The sequence below is a fragment of the Homo sapiens genome, chromosome 20 (assembly GCF_000001405.40).
Source record: "Homo sapiens chromosome 20, GRCh38.p14 Primary Assembly".
Lineage (NCBI taxonomy): Eukaryota > Metazoa > Chordata > Mammalia > Primates > Hominidae > Homo > Homo sapiens.
The window spans coordinates 63939829-63960486 of NC_000020.11; the positions used below are offsets into that span (position 1 = coordinate 63939829).

Below are 20658 nucleotides of genomic sequence, written 5' to 3' on the forward strand. Positions count from 1 at the left end.
TTCATTTTTCTAAAGCTTTATTTATTTTATAAAATGCATAGAATAAATTATACTAGTAACATTTTAAAAATTAACATCTTTGTATTCAGCAGTCCTGGGTCAGGAGGCAGGAGGAGGGTGGTGGGGACGGGATGGCTCACTGGGCAGCTAACCCGTGTAGGCCACTTCCTCCTCGTCACTGCCATCGGGGACCGCGTCTGTCCCAAAGTAGCGGTCGCCAAAGTTCCCTGGAAAAAGGGGGGGGGGGGTCCAGTGTGGTGGGGCCTCCCAGGGCCACCCACCCTGCCCTCATGTGCGGCTGAAGGGCCCGGGCAGCCTCACCAATGCCTGGGATGATGCGGAAAAGGTCATTGACCCGCTTGTCCACCGCCGTGGTGATGATTCTCACTCGCGGAAATGCATAGGCCACTGAGTGCACGCCCATCTCTGCCATGAGCAGCGACAGCAAAAAGATCTTGTCCTCAGGCACGTCGTGGTCCTACCGAGTGTATTGGGCAGGTAAATCCCACCTCTGCCTGAACCTGCCCCGCCTACCCAGGGCTCACTCACCAGGAGCACGCGCACTGCCATCATGGCCGCCGCGCCCGTGGACACGGTGCAGTCCATGAGGATCACGTGGTCATCGCTGATGTCCTTGGGCAGCCTCAGGTAGTGGAGCTGCGGGCAGCAGGGGTCAGGCTGCAGGTGGGGCTCCCTGCGTCCCCTTGCTGTGAGCTCCCTCTGCCCCCTACCCCCGGGCTCATCACCCCGGCTGCCCCCAGGCACCTCGGGCTCCCCGGTAAGCTGGTTGGTCTGGATGAGGATGGTGCCGATGCGCACGTCTTTGCACACAGCGCGCAGCGCGGGCTCCATGGTTTCACCGGCGCGCAGAATGGACACACCGGTGATCTGCGGGGAGGGGAGGCTAAGCGCCCACATCCCGCCCCAGCAGCCTGTCCCGCGCCCAGGTGTGCCCAGGCAGGTACCTGCTTCCCCGCATAGCACTTGCCCGCATAGTCCTGCCCCTGCGGGGTCTGTACGACGCAGTCCTGTGGGGTGCAGGGTGAGGACTCCGGTGAGCGCAGGGAGCTCGCACCGGCTCCAAGACCCACCCTCCACCTCGCGGGCTACGGGCTACGAACCTGAAAGGGCAGGAAGGAGAGCGCGTGCTCGATGAGCAGCCGCATCAGTCTCTTGGAGTAGAAGATGAACTCGTCGCGACTGGTCTCCTTGTCCCTGTGGGGCCAACAGTTGAGCGGGAGCACGCGCCCGGGGCCGCCCCGTCCCCAGGTGGGCCCTCACCTGATGATGGTGTGCATGCCCCGTACCTGCGGCGTGCTCTTCAGGACGCTCAGCGTCCGGGGCAGCGGGTGGCACTGGTGTGCCGAGGCCAGCGCAGCCCTGGGGACAAACCGATGGGGAACACTCAAGAAGGGGGTCTTTTCCCAGAGCCCTCCCTCCCCACAGGACGGCTGTGCGTCACTGTGAGGGGAACACACGGGCCAGGCACAGCACGAGGTGCAGAGCGGGCCTGACTTCTGCCTGGGGCTGAGCTGGGGGGAGACGTCGCCCTACCTGAGCTGTCAGGCAAAGGCGAAAGATGGCGGCGAACAACGGGGCAAGCTCACCATCAGGCAGAAAGCTAGCGGGGTAGGCTGTGAGGGCCCCTCCCAGTGCGGGACCCCTCCTGCGCTAAGAGGAAGCAGAAGTGGGCCGGGCACAGGGCGGGCTCACACGTGCTGATAGGTGTCATACCCCAGAATGGGTAGCTTGTCCCCAGCCTCTCCCCGGGGGAACTAAAGCTTTGTGGGGTCAGGCCCCGCCCTGGCTCCTCCCCGAGGTGGTGCGCGGCCCCTCAAGAGAGGGGGGTGGGGGGCAAAGCTGGCTCAGTGTCTCTTGGCTGTCCCGTCCCGCCCCGCTGCCCAAGCCTGGGGATGGCCGGGGCAGCAGCAGGTCTAGGAGCGGGCAGGAAAAGGGCGGGGTGGAGGCAAGAAAGAGGTGGGACAGGGAGGAGGCAAAGCCGGAAAGGGGCATGACAGGGGCAGGGAATGGGGCGGGGCAGGAAAGGGGGTGATGCAGGGGCAGGAAGAGGAAAGCGACAGGCCACAGAATTGGGTGTGGCAGGGGAAGGAAAGAGGCAGGGCACGGAATTGGGTGTGGCAGGGCAGAAAAGAGGCGTGACAGCGGCAGGGAAAGGGGCGGGGCCGGGAATGGGGTGTGGCAGGGCAGAAAAGAGGCGTGACAGCGGCAGGGAAAGGGGCGGGGCCGGGAATGGGGTGTGGCAGGGCAGAAAAGAGGCGTGACAGCGGCAGGGAAAGGGGCGGGGCCGGGAATGGGGTGTGGCAGGGCAGAAAAGAGGCGTGACAGCGGCAGGGAAAGGGGCGGGGCCGGGAATGGGGTGTGGCAGGGCAGAAAAGAGGCGTGACAGCGGCAGGGAAAGGGGCGGGGCCGGGAATGGGGTGTGGCAGGGCAGAAAAGAGGCGTGACAGCGGCAGGGAAAGGGGCGGGGCCGGAAATGGGGTGTGGCAGGGCAGAAAAGAGGCGTGACAGCGGCAGGGAAAGGGGCGGGGCAGGAGCAGGAAAGAGGGCCTAGCGGGAGCAGCGGGGCAAGGGGCTACGGGAAGGCGGGTCACACAGCAGCACCACGGAGCACACTGCTCACATATCCCAACGTAGCTTCCTCTGCTTGCCAGGTGAAGAGCATGTTCAGGGAGGGAACAAGGCAGGAAACGGGGGTTTACAGAGAGAAGGAAGAGAACAAAGAGAAGGCTGCTTAGTTGGGGAGCAGGGCGTTCCCCGCAGGCCTGAGGAGGAGTGTGGGCGGTCAGGCCCCCAGCCCTGCCTGACCCTCCCTCCTGCCCCCGACCAAGGCTTCCTGGGGCTGAAGGAAGTGAGTGCAGCCACAGGCCAACACTTCCTTGGCTGACCAGACGACGGAAAATGTGTCTGGCTGCGTTCAGGTGTTTTTCCAAGTTTGAAACCCTGGAAAGTTTTTCCTCTCAGAACAAAAGCTTCAGGAGGAACCTGACGGGACAAGACCTGCGGGTTCCTAGGCCGAGGAGAGGGCCAAGCGGAGACTCATGCAGGCACCGGAAGCTGGACGGCTGGTGGACGGGCCCTGGAGGCATTTCCAACATTTGGCAAACTCTTTGGAGGGCTCTGAATGTGAGGGCTCTCCCTCCAGGTGGCTCAGTCAGGAGCCTCCCAACCCACAGAAGGCAGGGAGAAGGGCAGGTCCCTTGTGGCTGACCCCCCTGCATGCCTGCCCTTGGGGAGGGACAGTGGGATGCGGCCCCGGCCCAGCCCAAGCTTCTTGCTGCAGTTGCCCAGTTCCTGCTGGCAGAGCTGTGCGGGCTGCGAGGACAGAGCTGGGGCAAGCAGGACCCGGGTGGGTGGGAGGACAGGCGCGAGGCCCTCCACCTGCAACCAGGGAAAGCTGACTGGTCCGTGAGGCTGGGCACAGGAGGTACAGCAGGCTCCCTGGCTGCTGGGACATGTCTGTAGTCACTGCCCCAGAGGCCTGGCAGTGCTGGCTCAGGAGGACAGCTGTGCTCTCTGGGGTCAAATCCCATAGACAGACTCAGGAGTCAGGGGAGCCTCCAGCAAAGTCTGGCCAGGACAGGGTCAGGACTCCGTGACGCTGGGCAAGCTACTTCACGTCTCTGTGCCTCAGTGTCCTCATCTGCCAGCAAGGGGAGGCAGAAGCAGGGCTGGGACCACTCCACACCACCCCTTCTGTGACTGGGGAAGAGCCAGCTGCCTGGCTGGATCACAGCCCAGACCCCAGAGCTCCTTGGAGGTGTTGGAAGTGCCTCCATCTGTGCAGACAGCTGTGCAAGTCTTACCTGACGCTGAGTTCACGCTGTGGCAGCAACACAGGAAGACACAAGGGAACGGTGGCGCGTCAGTGACCAGGGCAGGCGGCCAGGCCACCCCCACCCAGGAATGGACATGCTGCAGGCCCGCGGGGACACAGCCAGCCATGGGGGGTGGCAAGCTTCTAATGCCTGTAACCTGGGGACCACCTGGGCCAGACCTGCAGTTCTGCGTTGGGGCAATCAGAGCCAGGACCCTGGGCTCTGTTCTGCAGGCCTCAGGCCTTCAACATCCTGGTAGGGAGTGTGTTCAGAGCCACTCAGGCTCCAAGGCCCAGCCATAGAATGCCTCAGGGAGCAGGGGACCTCTGGTGGGGGTGTCGCTCCTGGGGTGACCCCCTGAGAAAGAGAGGAGCCTGGCCTGGCGTGGGACTCAGCAGTGAAACCCCACAATCCTGGGCCAGCAGGTCATGCCTGTCTTCCCAAAAGCTCAGGCTGGGTGTGCTGAGCGGGCTGCACCCTCGGCTGGGTCCTGAGCACCTGTACCCCCACCCCAGCTTCCTCAGGGAACCCAGGCCCTGCACAGCACAACGGGATGGGGTCTGGGCTGGACAATCTGACTGGCCAAGCAGGCTCAGGACACTCAGGGCTGGCACCTGGCAGGGGACAGTGAACGCAGGGGGATGAGGTGACCAGGCCACTGGGGGTGGTGGCAGCGGAGAAGTGGGTAGAGGGGCTGGGGGCTAGGCCGTGGGGACGTGGGACCCCGCTCACCTCCTCCAGCTGGCTGTGCACGTGCTGCACAATCAGGTCGATGGCCACCGTGTTGCCGCTCCCTGGGGCGGGATGGGGGGGCGGGTGACCGGGGGCTGGGCCGTTGGCCTGCCCGACACCCACCCAACAGGCAGCCCAGCAGGCTCACCTCTGGGGACCACGATGTCTGCCAGGCGCATGGTGGGCTGGATGTACTGGTCGAAGGAGGGCTTGACAAACTTGTTGTACTGCTTGATGACACCCTCGATGTCCCGGCCGCGCTCACTGATGTCCCGGCGCAGCCGCCGTACCAGGCGGATGTCGGAGTCTGTGTCCACAAAGATCTTCATGTCCAGGAGCTGGTGGAGACAGCGGGCCAGTGAGTGGCCAGATGCCAGCAGTGGGCATGGAGACACTGGGACCAGCCCCTGCACTGAGGCCGCCTGGTCCGTGGGCCTGGCCAGAGCCACTTCCCCAGGGCACCCTGGCAGGTGGGGAGGAGTGGGGAGGTGGGGGTGTCTGCACCTGGTCCGTGGGCCTGGCCCGAGCCACTTCCCCAGGGCACCCTGGCAGGTGGGAAGGAGTGGGGAGGTGGGGGTGTCTGGGGATGCGGTGCTGCCCGTCAGGGGCTTAGGTGAAGAGGCATGGCATGGTGGCTGGCTAAGGAATCAGGCAGGAATGGGGCTGGGCACATGTGATCTCCTTACTTTGCTTGGGGTAACTTGCACCAACACACTGGGGAATGGGGGACGTGGCGAGTTTAGGGTCTGTCCCCATGCTCAGCACACAGTAGTTGGCCCGTGAAGAGGCCTTGTGGAGGCTGGGGGCTGCTATGTGCCGGATGATGGAGTCCTCTGGGCCTGTACAAGGGGCAGGACCTGGGCCCTGGGATCAGGCCAACCTGAGTCACACTCAGCTGTGTCCTGAAGGCCCCCTTGAGCTACAGCAAAATCTCTCAAACACACCAGCCCTGGGTCCTCACCTGTCCGTCAGGACCACGGCAAGGGACGAGAACGCCAAGGACACTCCAGGTATGCGCACAGGCCTCAGCCGGTGGAGAGGAACCACTGCCTCAGGCAGCCACGCTCTGCCTTTTGGGGCCGGCAGATGGACCCAGCTGTGGCATGCCTGGGGTTGGGGTTGGGGTAGGGAGTGGCTGGCCTAGGCCTATACAGTGTGGAGGCCTTGGGGACAGGGCAGGAGGACGCACACCTCATGGACAGGGCGGCCAGGGCTGAGATACCAGCGGGGTGGGTATTCCCGGCGGGTGCTTACCTCCAACAGTGTCTTGTCAGCAAAGGCCATGATGCCCTCAAAGATGATGACGTTTGCACCATACAGTGTTTTCTGTGAAGAAACCCAGGAGTTGCGGAGCCTGGCTCATGTGCCTGCAGCCCCCCGAGGCCCCCTCTGCAGGGCCCTGGCCTACCCAGTCCTTCTTCCGGCTGTGCGTGGTGAAGTCATAAATGGGCACCTTGACACTCTTCCCCTGCTTCAGCTTCTTGAGGGTGGAAATGATGAGGTCGAAGTCAAAGGCATCTGGGTGGTCGAAGTTGAAGTTGTTGTGTGCGGCCTGTTCCTGCTGCTGCTCAGTCAGCACCTGGTGGGGGAGGCTGTGGAGCAGCTGTGGGCACAGTAGGGCCCTCACCCAATGCCAGCGGACAGGGGCTCTAGGCCTCCCAGGAGCAGCCACGCTGGGGCTGAGACCAGGGACCTACTTTTGCAGGGGGTCCAGGGTCAGGGAGAGGACAAAGGGGTCCTCGGGGGAGCTGGGCGGGGGCCCACCTTGTAGAAGGAGTCCATGGACAGCAAGACCACCCAGGGCACATCCAGGGCCTCGATGATCATTCTGGCCACAGTGGTCTTCCCAGAGGCACTGCCGCCTCCCAAGCCTGCCGGCGGGAGTGGAGACCCTCTGTGAGGAACAGGCAGGCTGCCGGCACAGATAGGTCCCAGAGGTGCCCATCCCGCTGCCGCTGCCTGCGGTTGCCCGGCTTCCTTCTCCTGCTCCACAGGCACTGGAGGGGAGCCGGAGGCAGGCGTCCGGCAGCAGGTCCCACCCCCCCGCTGCTCTCACCGATGGCGAAGGCCTCTTTGGATTGCGTGCCGTGTTCATTGTACCAGGGCGGCCGCCCGGCGGTGTAGATGGTACGCTTGCTTGTACGCAGCAGGGGAGGCTCTGACTTGCACTGGCTGGTGGTCCGCTTCCGGGGAGAGCGCCCAGTGCCCACAGGTGGCAGGAGCCTGTCCAGGGACTCTGCATTGCTGCTGCAGAGAGGGATGTACTCGGATGTGGCCCAGAGCTGCCCACCTCCCAGGTACCCGCTGGCATGGCCGGCCCACAGGGCACCCCCCCCACCCCCTCAACAGGCATGGCTGAGGCGGGCAGGCTCATTGGGGGTACATAAGAACTCTGCCTGGGCTGGGCGTGGTGGCTCATGCCTGTAATCCCAGTACTTTGGGAGGCCGAGGCAGGTGGATCATTTGAGGTCAGGAGTTTGAGACCAGCCTGGCCAACATGGTGAAGACCCGTCTCTACTAAAAATTAAAAAAAAAAAATTACCTGGGTGCGGTGGTGGGTGCCTGTAATCCCAGCTACTAGGGAGGCTGAGGCAGGAGAATGGCTTGAACCCGGGAGGTGGAGATTGCAATGAGCTATCGTGCCACTGCACTCCAGTCTGGGTGACAGAGTGAGACTCCACCTCAAAAAAAAAAAACCCTGCCTCCTGCCTGCAGCTGGGCCACAGGACACACAGACCCAAGTGCTCAGCCTGGCACAGGGCCTCAGATCATCACTGTCCACACAGCAAGGACAGAGGAACAGCAAACAAGGACAAGGGAAGGAGGAGAGGCGCTATCTTGGGGCCATGCTCATCCTGCTGTGTGGACAGGCACTGGCTGGGCCAGGCTCTGTCCCCTAGGGGACTCAAGGTGGGCCTGTGAAAGGCAGGTGAGACCCCAAAATGGACCACGTTCCCTTGCAACCCGGCACACTCTCTGGGCAGCCAAATCGCTGCCATGCTGAAGGCTGGGTGCCCAAGGAGACGTGAGGGCGGCGTGTGGGTGGAGGCGAGACCAGACCAGGTTGTGCGCACACACCGAGGGTGAGGTCCCCAGACAGGACCAGGCTGAAGGGCTCAGGGAGAGAGGCAGAGGGCTCAGCCAGGACCTGATTCTCCTGCAGTGACAGCAGGCCCAGCACAGTGCCTCGGCCTGGCCTCTCTGGCTGTCAGAGTGCCGGATGGGGGACCCTGCGCTGGGAGCCTTATTGGAACCCCATTCATTCTTGCTGTGGCCCCTCCTGGGTCCCCAAGACAGAAACCTCCGGCATCTGGCAAACACCAGAGAGGAAAGTGCTGCCACCTGTCTGGGCTGCCGTGAGCCTGCCCAGGGTAAGGGGGAGCCCCTAAAGTCTGCAAGGGGGAAATCAACGGGAGGAAGACACAGGCCTAGGCTGTGTGGCATCTACATGCACTGCACGTGCTGGACCGGCACTCAGGCGCCTGCCAACTTCTCCGTCAGTTTACAACCTCAAGTGGGCAGGGGGCCGTGACTGGCCATGGAGCCCTGGGAGGGGCAGCCTCTGGGGAGGCTCAATATGGCCGAGTGCCCTGCTGGGGGGTTGGGGGGGCATCAACGTGGCGCCTGCCCAGTCTGTTCTGAGAGGCTCAGATGCAGAGCCTGGTGTGAAGATGCCATGAGACAAGACACAGGTCCGGCAGAAGGCACTTGTGGCCACTGCCCAGGAGACACCGAGCTGGCTGTGGTGGCCTCAGCACCATGTTTCAGGTCTCCCTGGGAAGCTCTCAGGGGTCAGCACCTTGGCCCTGCAGGTCATGGCCCACTCACATGGGGAGCAACTCAGAACCACAGTCACTGTCTGTGCAGGGCAGAGCCCCCGGGGGCAAGAGGGAAAGCTCCGCAAACGGCAGGACCGCCTCTTTGTAGCTTCCTGCAGCGGCACAGTCTGTCCACCGCGCTCCGGAGTTCCACAGGAAATGGAACGCTCCACAGATGCCAGTTACGCCCGAAAACGACACAGAACACAGGTGCGGACAGGGAACGGCATCCTCAGAGCATGGTCAGGGGAGAAAAGCAAGCTGGAAGGAGAGATGATTCCATCTGTATAAAATCCAGGAAACGAAGGACGCTCACCGCCATGCGCCTCGGTGTGAGGAGGGAGGCGTGTGTGAGAGGGAGGGGATGTGTGTGAGAGGGAGGGGGCGTGTGTGAGAGGGAGGGGCGTGTGTGAGAGGGAAGGGGCGTGTGTGAGAGGGAGGGGCGTGTGTGAGAGGGAGGGGGTGTGTGTGAGACCGAGGGGGCGTGTAAGGGAGGGGGTGTGTGTGAGAGGGAAGCGTGTGCACACACCAGCCCTAACCATGATCACTCTCTGGCCACCAAGATTTGGAACAGCAACTTCTGTCACATTTGAATGTTTTTAAAGCAGGTGCCACTTTGTTGCCATAAACCAAACCGTAGTCTGTCTTTGAAGGTGGCATCTCCAGCGTGGGAACACTGATTCCCACCTGGGCACTCCTCCCCGTGCACCCGTGACACCCACAGCCAGGAGGACAGTGTCCGTGTGCACACACAGGGGGCAGTGGAAGGAGGGAGCCCAGCCCGACACGTGACAGCTCTCCTGGGCCCAGAGAACAGTGTGGCAGCATTTAAAGCAGCAAAGAGACCCGCCGTCTGCACCTGACGGGGAAAACGCGCTGTGCCTCTCCTCAGAGACAGACAGGTCTGCCTGTTTCCATGCCACCATCAGGGGAGTGAGCACGGGGAATAATCAGCCAGGCAGCCTCACTCAGCCTCACCTCGGCTCCGGAGATCGTTCTGGAGCTGAGTGGTGACGTCAGCAGCAGGGCTGAGCACAAACAACAAGGCCAGGCGCCAAGACGACCAGGCGAGGGCGGCCCGGGGGACAGCACCACTGCACGGTGCCCTGAAGGGGGAGCAGGTGCCACGGCACTTCCCCGAGACCGCATGCGGGGGCTGCAGCTGGAATGGGACCTGCACCCCACTCAGGTCTGCCTGAAGGGCTGTCAGTCAAGAAGGAAGACGGGACCCAGCAAACAGAAGCCACGACCTCCCAGCGGCCCTGGACACACATGACCAACGCACCAGCAGTAAACAAAAGGGCCTGCAAGGGTCACCCCCGGGGCCACCCCTCCCAGCAGGTGGTGATGGATGGCCCGCAGCTGTGCACAGTGGGGCAGTCCTGCTTAGGTTCAGCAGCAGGTTCCCAGCAGACAGAAACGCTCTGGTGGCCCTGGAGGCCGTGGTGGGCAGAGAACAAATCCAGGCGGCCCCTCCCCTCTATGCCTAACCCCAGCATCTGCAGGGAATCACCCACTGTCTTCAACCTCAGGGAGGAAGCCCCGACACAATCTGACTTGCAAAGAGGCTCCCCAGCGAAGCTCCCAGCACCGCCCTTGCGGCTGCCTGCACTTCCGCCATGCACCCTGGATTCCGAGGGTGAGCCCGCTAATGCACAAAGCTGGGACTAACTTGAGGGACAGACACCAGACGGCAGAGGCCGGGCTGGCACCGTGCCTGCTCCCCATTGGTAGTCTCCTGGTGCTCAGTCCTCTCCAGCAGGAGCCTTCCAACCCCGCATTTGTGACTCTTCCTCATCCTACTGAAGTAACAACCCCGTCACCGCAGATCCCTCCTGAGGCACACGCTGCTGACAGCCAGGCGCTGGCCCTTCTGCTGGGAGTGGTGCCCATGCAGCGGAACGGTCACAAGCAGGCCAGGACGATCTGCCAGAAGCCCGCCTCACCGCAGGCCTGTGACGGCGTCAGGCTGAGTCTGCACCGAGCCCAGCCCCACTACCTTCTCCAAAGCTGGTCTGTCTCAGAGCCAAGGACAAAGCCTCACCCCACGGTTCACAAGCAGCACCCCTTGACAGGAAAGTTGGCCGGGTGTGGTGGCTCATGCCTTGAACAGTCCTTTGGAGGCTGCAGTGGGAGGACTGCTTGAGGTCAGCAGTTCGTGACCAGCCTGGGCAACATGGTGAGACGGTCTCCACACAAAAAACTTTAGAATATTAAAAATAAATAAAAACAGAGGAGAAAGTTGCACAGCAAACCTCACTTCCTGTGCACAGATGGACAGGAGTGCTTCTGGCCACAACAACAAAAGGTTAATTCCAACCCGGAGGGTTCCAAGCCGTAACCAACACAAGAGAGACGCGCCCAGACCAACAGCCTCAAGCAAAATGGCACCTTCGACCCTGGGCTCTGCCCGGTGCCCGAGAGCACCTGCCAGCCTGTTTGATTCCTGATATCCACAGACATGCACCAAACACAGGTCTGAGTGGCCAGGACCACAGCACAAGTGGGTGCCCCTCACGGCAGAGACCTCCAGTCGAGACTCACCTGCCTTCTGCTCCAAGGGCCCGGCACCCTGAGATCCTGATGCCAGGGTAAGCTGGGGGGCTGCTCATGGTCGAGGACACGGGTGGGTGCTCCTGAACAGCAGAGTGGCCCCAGGGGTGGATGCGTGGGGGCTCAGGCGCAGGCAGCCGTGGGGGACATCACCACCTCAGACCCACAGCAGTCCCCTAGGGCAGCTCAGGAGCTCCGGCCACCTGAACTGGCCCTTCCATGGGCAGGACCACTCCTGTGGGCAGCACAGTGGGTGCAGAGCCGGGTGGCTGGGGTGAGACCCTTGGCTGGCAGAAGCTGCCTGCCAAATGTCAGCAGAGGCACAGCAGCTAGGAGGCCCTTGAAGCCTCCACCGTACTGAGGGAACAGCACTCACTGCCGTCCTCAGAGGCCAAGGCCACAGGCATAAGAGGATCACCCAGCTGGGGGCTTGTGTATGCCTGATATTAATAGCGCTGGCTTTGCCTGGTGTGGCCCTGACAATCCTCGGGCCAGCCCTCGGTGTGAACTGCCCCCTCCTGTGTGTGGGCTGGCACATTCGGCCAGCCTAGGACCGCAGGCCTGCGGAGGACCACTGTGCGCCGTGTGCCTGCACCCCTCCTGGATCCCCTGGAAAAAGCTACAGTACCCCGGCCTGCCTGGGGCTACAGAGTGAACCCCCCGCAGCAGGACAAGGATATCTGAGGCGCCTCTTGGCCAGGTGTCCTGAACGTCAGTGCTGAGCTGGGCACCCCATCCCTAGCCCCAGAGTGCTTCCGACAGGCATAAACAAATCTGAAACTCCACCCTCTGGCACCATCTGAAAATAACTGCCTTGCCCTACCCCCACTCACGGGGGATCCTGCAGGGACCTGCAGCCACCCAGGGCTCACCACCCAGGGCTCAGCAGAGCACAGGGGACACAGCCACCTCCCCGCCCAGGGCTCAGCAGGGCACAGGGGACACAGCCACCTCCCCGCCCAGGGCTCAGCAGGGCACAGGGGACACAGCCACCTCCCCGCCCAGGGCTCAGCAGGGCACAGGGGACACAGCCACCTCCCCGCCCACAGAAACAGGGTTTCGGCCCCACCCTCCGCAGAGTCAGTCAAGGATGTGCACAGAGAAGTCCTGGCAGCCCTAAGCTCTCTCCCAGGGGCAGACAGGTCAGCCATGGGTGTCAGCTTCCTCCTACCATGGGTTTCTCTTGGAGCTTCTAGTACTGAGGCAGGGGCTGCCAGAAGCTCAGGGAAAAGGGAAGACTCCACATGGAGGTCATACTCCTCAATAGTAGGCCACTCCTGGGAGCTGCCTCAGAGGCAGGACCGGCCCATCTGTCTGTGTCCACAGGTGCTTCCTCTCCTCATTCTGCTCCCAGGAGGCGGCTACATCCCTCACTTGGGAAGTGGGCAGGAGACAGCCCAGGGTCGGGGAGGCGGAGGCTGTCCTGAGCAGGGGCGCAGAGTCCGGGCTCCTGGGGGCCATGCCACTGGCTGGGCTGTCTGAACAGCAGAGTGGACGCAGACTGGTCTTGCCTGGCATGGGCATGCACCCTGGCTGCCCTAGCCGGCCAAGAGGCAAGGCTACAGGCCTGGGGAAGCCAGCACTGTGCTGGCCAGGCGAGGGACGGAGGAGCCCAGGCACGCAGCTGTGAATGGAACCACCAGGCCCCACCCTGGAATCACGTCGCCTCGCTGCAGGCCACGTGGTCCCCAACATGCCCCTCCACGGGGCTGCTCTCGGCCACAGCAGCCCACGGCAGGGAGGGGCCGCTCACGGTGGGGAGGGGTAGCCTGCCCTGGTCCTATTCACTGGTGTTCCTCCCAGGTTCTAACTTCCTGAGCTGGGCCGGTCCAGAGAACTCCCATTCCCACGCCACCCACAGGTGCTGATGCCGCGCTGGGGTAAGCGCTGCCCAGAGCACCTTCTGCCTAAGGCTTCCTCCTTGCAGGTGGGGCTGTCTGAGGCCCGTGGTGCTGGAGGCTGCCTCAGTCACTTCAGGGCACCCCTTGCCCTTCCCTCACCTTCAGCCATCCTACTCTGGGCCACAGCACAGTCGAATGTGGCTCAGTCCCCTCCACGGAGCCACAGCTTGCCTCAGTTTCCTCCTCAAGGACTAACAGCAGGTTCATTACAGGTGGGTCAGCTCATAAAGTCCAAGGCAGATGCCTCATCGGTGATCAGGCCCCATAACTGATGTCATCGTCAAGAAATAGGCACAGGTGGCCGGGCGCGGTGGCTCACGCCTGTCATCCCAGCACTGTGGGAGGCCGAGGCGGGCGGATCACCCAAGGTCGGAGTTTGAGACCAGCCTCAACGTGGAGAAACCTTATCTCTACTAGAAATACAAAATTAGCTGGGCACGGTGGCACATGCCTGTAATCCCAGCACTTTGGGAGGCCAAGGCAGGTGGATCACCTGAGGTTGGGCGTTTGAGACCAGCCTGACCAACATGGAGAAACCCTGTCTCTACTAAAAACACAAAATTAGCCGGGCGTAGTGGCACATGCCTGTAATCCCAGCTACTTGGGAGGCTGAGGCAGGAGAATTGCTTGAACCCGGGAGGCAGAGGTTGCTGTGAGCTGAGATTGCGCCACTGCAATCCAGCCTGGGCAACAAGAGCAAAACTCCATCTCAAAAACAAAACAAAACAAAACAAAAGAAATACACACAGGCAGCCGGGTGCAGTGGCTCACGCCTGTAATCCCAGCACTTTCAGAGGCTGAGCGGGCAGATCATCTGAGGTCAGGAGTTCAAGACCAGCCTGGCCAACATGGTGAAACCCCGTCTCTACTAAAAATACAAAAAATTAGCTGGGCGTGGTGGCGGGCGCCTGTAGTCCCAGCTACTCGGGAGGCTGAGGCAGGAGAACTGCTTGAACCCGGGAGGCGGAGGTTGCAGTGAGCCGAGATGGTGCCATTGCACTCCAGCCCAGGACTCTATCTCCAAAAAAAAAAGAAAGGAAGAAAAATAAGCACAGGCATGTGTGGAGACCTGGAGGCAGGGCTGCCCCTCACGAACCATCCACAATGCCAAGGAAACCAGAAGCAAACGTCCAGCAGCAGGGAGCGCAGGGCATGTGAAACCGACACTGAGGAAACAGCCACGGGAGAGAGCACACAGGGAGAAAGGAAGGCTCGGGCACTCCCTTGCTGTGGTTCAGGCCTGTTCTACCACCCCTGGGGTCACCATCGCCCACGGACCTTCCTGCTGGGTGCCTGTAGCACGGCACCTCCTGACAGGTCAGGTTTAAGGGAAGTTTGCTGGATAACTAAAATGAGGCTGGGGGGAGGAGGGAGCAGGGAGGAGCTAGCCCACAGGAGCCAATGCAGGCCTGACCCCACTGGTGCCGGACTGACTCAGGGAGAGTCATTAGGGCTGCTTTCTCAGGCTGGATGAGCACTGGGGGTTGGGGGCTTGCCCTGGCCCACCCCACCACTCAGGAAACCTTCCCTCAGCAGGACCTGCCCTGCACAGATCATGGGCAGCCTCCCTCTGCTCCCCACTTCCACAGCCCCAGACTCCATCTCAACCGCAGCCAGGAGTCACTGCTAACACCACAAAGGACCTGTTCCTGCACCAGCACGGGCCAGCTCTGGGGGCAGGTGCCCAGGACAGAGTCACGAGTGGCAAGCAGACAATAAACAACAGGCAAGATGGACAGACTGATTGCCGGGAGGATGTGGCAGGAGGCACTGGAACGGTGGTGGAGGAACCCCAGCCCTGGGGACAGACCTCCACCCGTGCACAGACCTCCAAGCTGGAGCCTGCTCTGGAACACTAAGGGCAGCAGCAGAGGTTGAAGAGGGGCAGACGCAGGAACGTTGGGGACACGCTCGGGGAACAGTGAGAAAAGCCCTAGGCTGGGGCAGAGGAAGTCCTCGATGGCACAAGCATCAGGACACAAAGTGCAAGAAATGTGCCTAAGACAAGAGGCAGTTCCAGGGCAGACCGGGGCCCCTGGAGAAGGGTGCTGCAATCTATCCTCACTGCCTGGAGCTTCCCTCCTGTCCCTTGGTAACCACACCAAAGAAAGATAACAACAGTCTCTGCCTCGTGGGACACAGCGAGGGCCACCGTGCCCAGCCCACCGTCTGTGCACAGGGCAGGCCCAGATGGCTGCTGCCACCAACCTGTGTCATCCAGGAGTGCCTTTCTCAAGAGCTCTCAGTGCTTATCTAGCGTTGGCCTGCCCCACCTCGGGTTAAATCAAAACCTCTTTGGTGGCTGGGCGCGGTGGCTCACGCCTGTAATCCCACGGAGGCCGAGGCGGGCAGATCACCTGAGGTCAGGAGTTGGAGACCAGCCTGGACAACCTGACAAAATACCTCTCTACTAAAAATACAAAAAAAAATTAGCCGGGCGTGGTGGCGCACACCTGTAATTCCAGCTACTCGGGAGGCTGAGGCAGGAGAATTGCTTGAACTGAGCTCGGGAAAGGGAGGTTGCAGTGAGCCGAGATCGAGCCACTGCACTCCAGCCTGGGCGACAGAGTGAGACTCCATCTCAAAACAAAAAAACAACGCCTCTTTGGAACCAGCAGAGGAACAGACTCAGGCCCTATTAGACTCCAGCCATGCAAAGTTCCTAGTCACTGCCCACTGGGAGGGTGTGGACCTGAAGGGACGCAGGGCCAGGGGAAAGCTCTTTCTGCTCAGCAGCTCCTGGAGAGGAGCGACCCTGTGCCGGGACACCCTTCCCCCTGCGGCATCCAGCGCAGCCCATCTCTGAGGGAGTCCTGGCTCACAGCGTTTCTGACAGGAGTCACAGCCTGAACCCAGGCAAGAGGCGCCTGAGTGGGAACAACCCCTTCCTGGGGACCCCGCGGGCTCCCCAAGGGACACTTCAGACCCGGAAGGGAGGGGCAGCGCCCAGAGCGCCCTCTTGCAGCCCCGGGCACTGCGTGGCCACCGCCCCCTGACGGCCACGGCCCCAAAGGCGCCGCGCAGGGCCCGGCTCCCAGAGGGGCCACTCGGGGTGACGAACCGGGGTGGGGGCGGGTTCCTCCCGCTGCACCCCCACAACTTCCCCACTTCATGCTCTTGCAAAGCCCCCGCAGAGGCTCGAAGGTGCCACGCGCGTGCGAGGCAATCCGAAGGCACCGTGCGCCGCAGCACCTCCAAATCCTAAGCCCTGGCCTCGCGGGTCGGGCAGGGCCACACCCCGAGCCGACAACATAGACCAACTCGCACAGTCGAGCAGGCACACAGCCCGCCGGGCGCTCGAGGCCGAGGGCCCCACCCACCGGGGGCAGAGACCAAGGTCAACGCTGGGGGTGCGCACCCGGACTCCTTCCCCGAGCCCCGAGGAGCCTGCCGGCTTGGGCCAGGTCCGTCCTCCCGGCCGCTTCAAGCCCGCGGGGTTCCACCCGGCACGTGGGAGAACGGGGCGCCGCCGCCTGGCCTCCGGGAGTGGGGGACTTGGGCTCGCGGCGGGGACGGACCACCCGCCCAGCTCGGCCGGATCTGCAGCCCCTTCCCGCTCGCCAGTGGAGTGGAGGCGAGGCCCACGCCTACCGGTCCTCGCACGCGGTCTCGCTTTTCTCAGCCTGCCGGCCTGGTGTGTCTCGGGCCGTAGGTGGCGACGTGGGCGAAGGATCAGCGTCCGCGCGGGCCGGGGGCGCAGCCATGGCGCTCGGAGGCCTCTTTGCGGGCCTGGCCGGGCGGCGCGCATGGGCCGCCGGGAGCTGGCGGGTCCCTCTCTTGCCCACCGCGGACTACAAGCCCCACAAGGCCGCGCGTCGCGGACTACAAGCCCCACAAGGCCGCGCGTCGCGGACTACAAGCCCCACAAGGCCGCGCGTCGCGGACTACAAGCCCCACAAGGCCGCGCGTCGCGGACTACAAGCCCCACAAGGCCGCGCGGCGGGCATGGGGGACCCGTAGTTCGGCAGCCTCCGCCACGTGCCTGGAGGGCCCCGCCCCCTGTTTTTCACCACAAACTGAGCCGCACAAAAACCCTGGAAAAAAATCAATAAACATTTATTTGATACAGTCATTTTAATACATACAGTGATGGCCCGTCCCCACGCCACTCGGGACCAGGGCGCGGGGCGGGGACGAGGACCGGGGACAGATGGTCACAAGGCGGGCGGGGCCCGAACTCACCGTTGAAACATCTCGCAAATAAACACTTTGTAGATAGAATATATATGTATATATATATGGTTACAAGTGATAGCTGGAACCTCTTTCAAAATGCACTTATGTACTGAGAACTGGCATTAAAAAACCCAAACCAAGAAACCCAAAGCACGGGACGCCCGGCCGCGAGGCAGGGGAAAGCCTGGGGCCCCAGACCCGGGCCTGGGGGAGCCGCCTGGGGCCCCGCCAAACGCGGCACACGGGGACGGCCCCTCCCGGGGTCAGGCTCACTGGCTCCTTCCCTTCAGCGCCACCAGGCAGGAGGGCCAACGGTCACACAGGAGGCACCCTCACCTGCCTTTGCACCAGCAAATAAAGTGCATCCCATTTTCGTGTGAGCGTCGGCCCGGTGAGTCAGCCCTTCCGGGCCCTTTCCTGTTCTCAGGGCAGGGGGCGTGCGCTGAGCCAGAGGTAGATCTGCAGAAAGGGCCCCGACTGGGCCTCGGGCAGGGCCGGCGCCCACCACACTCTGGGGGTCAGCTATGCTGGTCCCTCTCACTGAGGGCTCCTGGAGGCCTATGTGGGCCAGCGTAGGGAGTGGGCAGACCCTGCTGAGCTCCACCCAGGGCCCCACCCCTTGGGAGGAGGGCTCTGCGGACCAGCATGTGGCAGAGGGAGGGCAGAAAGGAGGGGGTCAGACCCAACAGCCACTTCTGGCAGTAGCCCCCACGCCTACCTTAAAGACAAAGGGGGTTAAAGTGCTAAACATCAAGGTATCCAGGACTCCTCTTCCCACACCAGGGATTATCTGTGGGCTTTGGGAGTGTCCCGGAAACTCACCCCCAGCAAAAACCAGACCCTCTTCTCTTCTCCCCAAGGGCCAAGTACCTGAGAGGCTGGGGCAGGCACCACACCCTGCAGGTGTTCAGGTCCACCCTCCTCCCGCCATTGGTGGCAAGGACAAAGTGCACCTAGGCCCCCGCCCAGTGCCTGCTCCCCTCCCCTCCCCTCCCCTCCCCTCATGAGGCTGCCCCAGCAGCAGCTGCCAGACCCCACCCTCCACCTCCGGCTCCTCCAGCTCCACCAGTGAAGCTCTGGGACACAGGAAGGAATGCCTCCCCCGACCCTCTGACGCTGGGTCACGCCCATCTCTGCCCCAGCCTCCATCCTCTCATCAGGCCGAGGTGTGCGTGGGTGGGGGGAGTCCGGGTCTCCACACCCACTCCCTGGCACATCTGGCAAGGGCTGCTGAGGGTTGGAGCCTTCTGGCCCAAGGATGAAGCCAGAGACAGGAAGTGTTCTGCAACCCCAGTCCCCAAAGTGCTCCTGGAACTTGTCTCCCTACTACTGCAGGCCAAGCCCAGTGGGGCCCCTTCTCCCTGGGGAATGGGGGAGGGTGGGTGCTGGGGGCAGAGGCAGTGCCCAGTCAGTACTGCCTCCCTGAGCAGCAAGGGACCCCAACCCCAGAGACCCACGCCCTGGTCCAGCCCAGCCCCCAGGCCCACCGTCTGCACCAGGAAACCCTTAGCACCAAATGTCGGATTGCGAGTGTTTGTATAAAAAACAATTTAAAAAAAAGGTTGTTACTTGTCACAGCAACAAGACTGGCATCCACTACACCCAGGAGACACACGCACACGGGCAAACATCAAAATTCTCATCGTCCAGGGTCAGTGGGGCCGAGCCCTCAGCCCACTCCCACCCACCCTGGAAAATGGCCTCCCTCCAAACCTACCCCCTCTGAGCCTCATCCTCCCTGCAATGCCGTGGTTGGAAGGCAGGACCCCAGGGAGGGAGCCACAGGCTGTGGCCACCTCTTCCAGGCACCCTGGACTCCCTGCCTGACCCCTGCCCTACCTATAGACCCAGCCGTCCTCAGGGCCACAAAGGGGCAAAGACAGCTCTGGAGCTGCCATCAACCTGCTGTGACTTTGGCCAAGCCCCTCCCCTGGCTGGCCTTCAGTTCCCATATCAAATGACCACACAACCAGAAACAATGGGGGCAGGTTAAAAAAAAAAGTGGGGAGGGGGCTCCCATGAGAGCTTGGCCACTGGGCCTACCCAGATTGGCAGACAGAAGGCTGCCTTTCCCCCAGTGGCCACTCAGAGCCAGGCCAGCTCTGCCCAGCTTCCTGCCCCACATGCCTATGGGCCCCAGCAAGACCCCAGGGCCCGAACTAGTCCGTCCCTACTCCACGAGGCTGCTCCAACCTAGGCCTGCAGTGCCAGAAGGCTGAACACTGGAGGAGAGCACACTCCAGGGGCCCCACACCCCCAGGGCTGGCAGCTGTGTTGAAGGGCATCAAGCTTCTGCTGCCCTGTAGGTACAAGAAGCAAAACCCCTCCCTTGCCCCAAGCTGGGAGAATTACAGACAGGCCTGGGGGGCAGGGCCTGAGCACAGCAGGGATCGCACTGACAAAGGAGGAGCAGGGGTGGGGGTAGTGGGCAGGCCTGGAGAGGTAGAAAACAGAAGCAAGGGGACCAAGTGGGTGGCCAAGGGCAGGCCGGAGCCTGTCAGGTCAGCATGGCAGTGGTCAGACAGGGGTCTGTCCTGGGAGGTAGCTGGGGGTGCTGGAGTTCCAGTGTTGGGTGGAGGTGAGGCCAGGATGGTGGCTGCCCGTGCCAGGTTGCTCAGGTGCCCTCACCAGCCCAGAACCACAGGTCACCAGGGATGCCTGAGCCTTGGGGTAGCCAGGGAAGGGACCCGGCAGGGCCTGAGGAAGCGGAGCCGGGGGGCCAAAGGCCATCTGCCTACTCTGCGCTGCAGCCCCTGTGGCACCAAGACCCCAGACACATTCCCATGAGGAGGGGCAACCCTCCTGGCTATTGCACTTCTGCTGGGCACACCTTGGGGAGCCCCAACCCAGGTGTGCCCTGTGGCAGCCTTAACAGGGGAAGGGCCACCTTCAGGGAAGGGAGAGTGGCTGGCTGCCCCACTGGACGGATGAAGAGGCGGGGGTGGGGGATGGAGAACTGGAGGACAGAGGTCCCGGAGCTGGCCCTGCCTTGAACAGAGGGCGGTGTGGCGGCTGCATGGGGGCCAGGCCCCACGCACCATGCTCACTTTTCAGGCGCCTTGCTGACTCCCACCTTCCGGCCGGTGGAGCCCCGGGCCCCCTTGTCTCTGCATCCTGGAGGCCAGTCGTCCCGGCGCGGGGGCAGCTTGGCCACAGGCTCCTCTGGGGTCCGCTCCTTGGGCTTTCGGCCCCGCTTCTTTCCACCTGCCAGATTTTTCTTCTTTTCCTTCTTGGGCACCAATGAGTCCTGGCTCCTGTGTTTGGGAGGTGGGTCTGCTGATGTTCGGAACCAGTTCTGGGGAGAGAAAAGCGCTGATGAAGACCTGGGACTGGATGCTGAGCACCTGAGCCAGGCATAGCCTGAGAGCTGAAGACCTGTCAGCCTTCAGGACCAGGCAAGCACCTGCAGCAGGGCTGGACACAGCCTTTAGGACCAGGCAGGCACCTGCAGCAGGGGGCTGAACACAGCCTTCGGGACCAGGCAAGCACCTGCAGGGGGCTGGACACAGCCTTCGGGACCAGGCAAGCACCTGCAGCAGGGCTGGACACAGCCTTCGGGACCAGGCAAGCACCTGCAGCAGGGCTGGACACAGCCTTCTGGACCAGGCAAGCACCTGCAGCAGGGGGCTGGACACAGCCTTC

General features: G+C 62.6%; 2 protein-coding genes, 1 long non-coding RNA gene and 2 other non-coding genes across 56 annotated transcripts in view, besides 15 other annotated features; 1 reads left to right on the forward strand and 4 right to left on the reverse strand.

Annotated features, from left to right (window-relative positions):
• UCKL1 (uridine-cytidine kinase 1 like 1) lies at positions 1-16588 on the reverse strand. 47 transcript variants are annotated; one of them, NR_148437.2, is made up of 16 exons: positions 16432-16588; positions 6625-6812; positions 6333-6439; positions 5977-6086; positions 5823-5894; positions 4717-4906; positions 4569-4630; positions 3825-3841; positions 2642-2661; positions 1282-1380; positions 1122-1215; positions 966-1028; positions 766-888; positions 550-657; positions 322-478; positions 1-227 (listed from the first exon to the last, which is right to left on the reverse strand). NR_148437.2 is itself a non-coding variant. In XM_047440232.1 (16 exons), the coding sequence occupies exons 4-16, from the start codon at positions 6393-6395 to the stop codon at positions 148-150; spliced, it is 1329 nt and encodes a 442-aa protein (XP_047296188.1). In that variant the 5' UTR covers positions 6396-6439; positions 6625-6812; positions 8397-8647; positions 16432-16588; the 3' UTR covers positions 1-147. The 47 variants fall into 47 exon arrangements, 34 of the variants coding, with proteins under 34 accessions (XP_047296188.1, XP_047296187.1, NP_001340410.1 ...); NR_148439.2 differs by having other exon boundaries at positions 5977-6147; NR_148438.2 differs by having other exon boundaries at positions 1308-1380; positions 6625-6815.
• On the reverse strand, positions 1637-1716 carry MIR1914 (microRNA 1914). The gene has a single exon (NR_031735.1). It is a non-coding gene; the product is annotated as a microRNA 1914 (primary transcript).
• Positions 2490-3203: an enhancer, noted in NCBI's record as "H3K4me1 hESC enhancer chr20:62573671-62574384 (GRCh37/hg19 assembly coordinates)". NCBI's record gives its function as "activates a minimal SCP1, AML or CMV promoter by ChIP-STARR-seq in primed H9 embryonic stem cells {active_cell/tissue: H9 hESC(primed)}" and the evidence as "EXISTENCE:reporter gene assay evidence [ECO:0000049][PMID:30033119]".
• MIR647 (microRNA 647) lies at positions 2803-2898 on the reverse strand. Its single transcript, NR_030377.1, has one exon. It is a non-coding gene; the product is annotated as a microRNA 647 (primary transcript).
• Positions 3204-3915: an enhancer, noted in NCBI's record as "H3K4me1 hESC enhancer chr20:62574385-62575096 (GRCh37/hg19 assembly coordinates)". NCBI's record gives its function as "activates a minimal SCP1, AML or CMV promoter by ChIP-STARR-seq in naive and primed H9 embryonic stem cells {active_cell/tissue: H9 hESC(naive and primed)}" and the evidence as "EXISTENCE:reporter gene assay evidence [ECO:0000049][PMID:30033119]".
• Positions 7876-7925: an enhancer, noted in NCBI's record as "active region_18255". NCBI's record gives its function as "activates an Ori minimal core promoter by ATAC-STARR-seq in GM12878 lymphoblastoid cells {active_cell/tissue: GM12878}" and the evidence as "EXISTENCE:reporter gene assay evidence [ECO:0000049][PMID:35858748]".
• Positions 8927-9465: an enhancer, noted in NCBI's record as "H3K4me1 hESC enhancer chr20:62580108-62580646 (GRCh37/hg19 assembly coordinates)". NCBI's record gives its function as "activates a minimal SCP1, AML or CMV promoter by ChIP-STARR-seq in primed H9 embryonic stem cells {active_cell/tissue: H9 hESC(primed)}" and the evidence as "EXISTENCE:reporter gene assay evidence [ECO:0000049][PMID:30033119]".
• Positions 9466-10004: an enhancer, noted in NCBI's record as "H3K4me1 hESC enhancer chr20:62580647-62581185 (GRCh37/hg19 assembly coordinates)". NCBI's record gives its function as "activates a minimal SCP1, AML or CMV promoter by ChIP-STARR-seq in naive H9 embryonic stem cells {active_cell/tissue: H9 hESC(naive)}" and the evidence as "EXISTENCE:reporter gene assay evidence [ECO:0000049][PMID:30033119]".
• Positions 9486-9545: an enhancer, noted in NCBI's record as "active region_18256". NCBI's record gives its function as "activates an Ori minimal core promoter by ATAC-STARR-seq in GM12878 lymphoblastoid cells {active_cell/tissue: GM12878}" and the evidence as "EXISTENCE:reporter gene assay evidence [ECO:0000049][PMID:35858748]".
• Positions 9606-9655: an enhancer, noted in NCBI's record as "active region_18257". NCBI's record gives its function as "activates an Ori minimal core promoter by ATAC-STARR-seq in GM12878 lymphoblastoid cells {active_cell/tissue: GM12878}" and the evidence as "EXISTENCE:reporter gene assay evidence [ECO:0000049][PMID:35858748]".
• Positions 10005-10543: an enhancer, noted in NCBI's record as "H3K4me1 hESC enhancer chr20:62581186-62581724 (GRCh37/hg19 assembly coordinates)". NCBI's record gives its function as "activates a minimal SCP1, AML or CMV promoter by ChIP-STARR-seq in naive H9 embryonic stem cells {active_cell/tissue: H9 hESC(naive)}" and the evidence as "EXISTENCE:reporter gene assay evidence [ECO:0000049][PMID:30033119]".
• UCKL1-AS1 (UCKL1 antisense RNA 1) lies at positions 13556-17157 on the forward strand. Its single transcript, NR_027287.2, has one exon. It is a non-coding gene; the product is annotated as a UCKL1 antisense RNA 1 (long non-coding RNA).
• Positions 15675-15984: a silencer, noted in NCBI's record as "silent region_13192". NCBI's record gives its function as "represses an Ori minimal core promoter by ATAC-STARR-seq in GM12878 lymphoblastoid cells {active_cell/tissue: GM12878}" and the evidence as "EXISTENCE:reporter gene assay evidence [ECO:0000049][PMID:35858748]".
• Positions 16035-16084: a silencer, noted in NCBI's record as "silent region_13193". NCBI's record gives its function as "represses an Ori minimal core promoter by ATAC-STARR-seq in GM12878 lymphoblastoid cells {active_cell/tissue: GM12878}" and the evidence as "EXISTENCE:reporter gene assay evidence [ECO:0000049][PMID:35858748]".
• Positions 16185-16554: a silencer, noted in NCBI's record as "silent region_13194". NCBI's record gives its function as "represses an Ori minimal core promoter by ATAC-STARR-seq in GM12878 lymphoblastoid cells {active_cell/tissue: GM12878}" and the evidence as "EXISTENCE:reporter gene assay evidence [ECO:0000049][PMID:35858748]".
• Positions 16685-16744: an enhancer, noted in NCBI's record as "active region_18258". NCBI's record gives its function as "activates an Ori minimal core promoter by ATAC-STARR-seq in GM12878 lymphoblastoid cells {active_cell/tissue: GM12878}" and the evidence as "EXISTENCE:reporter gene assay evidence [ECO:0000049][PMID:35858748]".
• Positions 16774-17661: an enhancer, noted in NCBI's record as "H3K27ac-H3K4me1 hESC enhancer chr20:62587955-62588842 (GRCh37/hg19 assembly coordinates)". NCBI's record gives its function as "activates a minimal SCP1, AML or CMV promoter by ChIP-STARR-seq in naive H9 embryonic stem cells {active_cell/tissue: H9 hESC(naive)}" and the evidence as "EXISTENCE:reporter gene assay evidence [ECO:0000049][PMID:30033119]".
• Positions 16876-20658, reverse strand: part of ZNF512B (zinc finger protein 512B) — a 13227-nt gene continuing 9444 nt past the window's right edge. For all 6 annotated transcript variants that reach the window (NM_020713.3, XM_047440326.1, XM_047440327.1 and 3 more), the window contains one exon: positions 16876-20311. In NM_020713.3, coding sequence (NP_065764.1) covers positions 20060-20311 — 252 coding nt within the window. In that variant the 3' untranslated portion in view covers positions 16876-20059. The remainder of the gene's footprint in view (positions 20312-20658) is intronic.
• Positions 17145-17354: a silencer, noted in NCBI's record as "silent region_13195". NCBI's record gives its function as "represses an Ori minimal core promoter by ATAC-STARR-seq in GM12878 lymphoblastoid cells {active_cell/tissue: GM12878}" and the evidence as "EXISTENCE:reporter gene assay evidence [ECO:0000049][PMID:35858748]".
• Positions 17662-18547: an enhancer, noted in NCBI's record as "H3K27ac-H3K4me1 hESC enhancer chr20:62588843-62589728 (GRCh37/hg19 assembly coordinates)". NCBI's record gives its function as "activates a minimal SCP1, AML or CMV promoter by ChIP-STARR-seq in naive H9 embryonic stem cells {active_cell/tissue: H9 hESC(naive)}" and the evidence as "EXISTENCE:reporter gene assay evidence [ECO:0000049][PMID:30033119]".

What these genes read in the sequence shown, in the direction of transcription:
- UCKL1 (XM_006723806.3), bottom strand. Translation starts at nt 16,544, where the DNA reads ATGGCTGCGCCCCCGGCCCGCGCGGACGCTGATCCTTCGCCCACGTCG. An exon ending in CTGACAAGACACTGTTGGAG is followed by an intron (nt 4,907 to 5,822) that starts GTAAGCACCCGC and finishes TGTCTCCACCAG; the next exon opens with CTCCTGGACATGAAGATCTT. An exon ending in GGCATGCACACCATCATCAG is followed by an intron (nt 1,216 to 1,281) that starts GTGAGGGCCCAC and finishes TTGGCCCCACAG; the next exon opens with GGACAAGGAGACCAGTCGCG.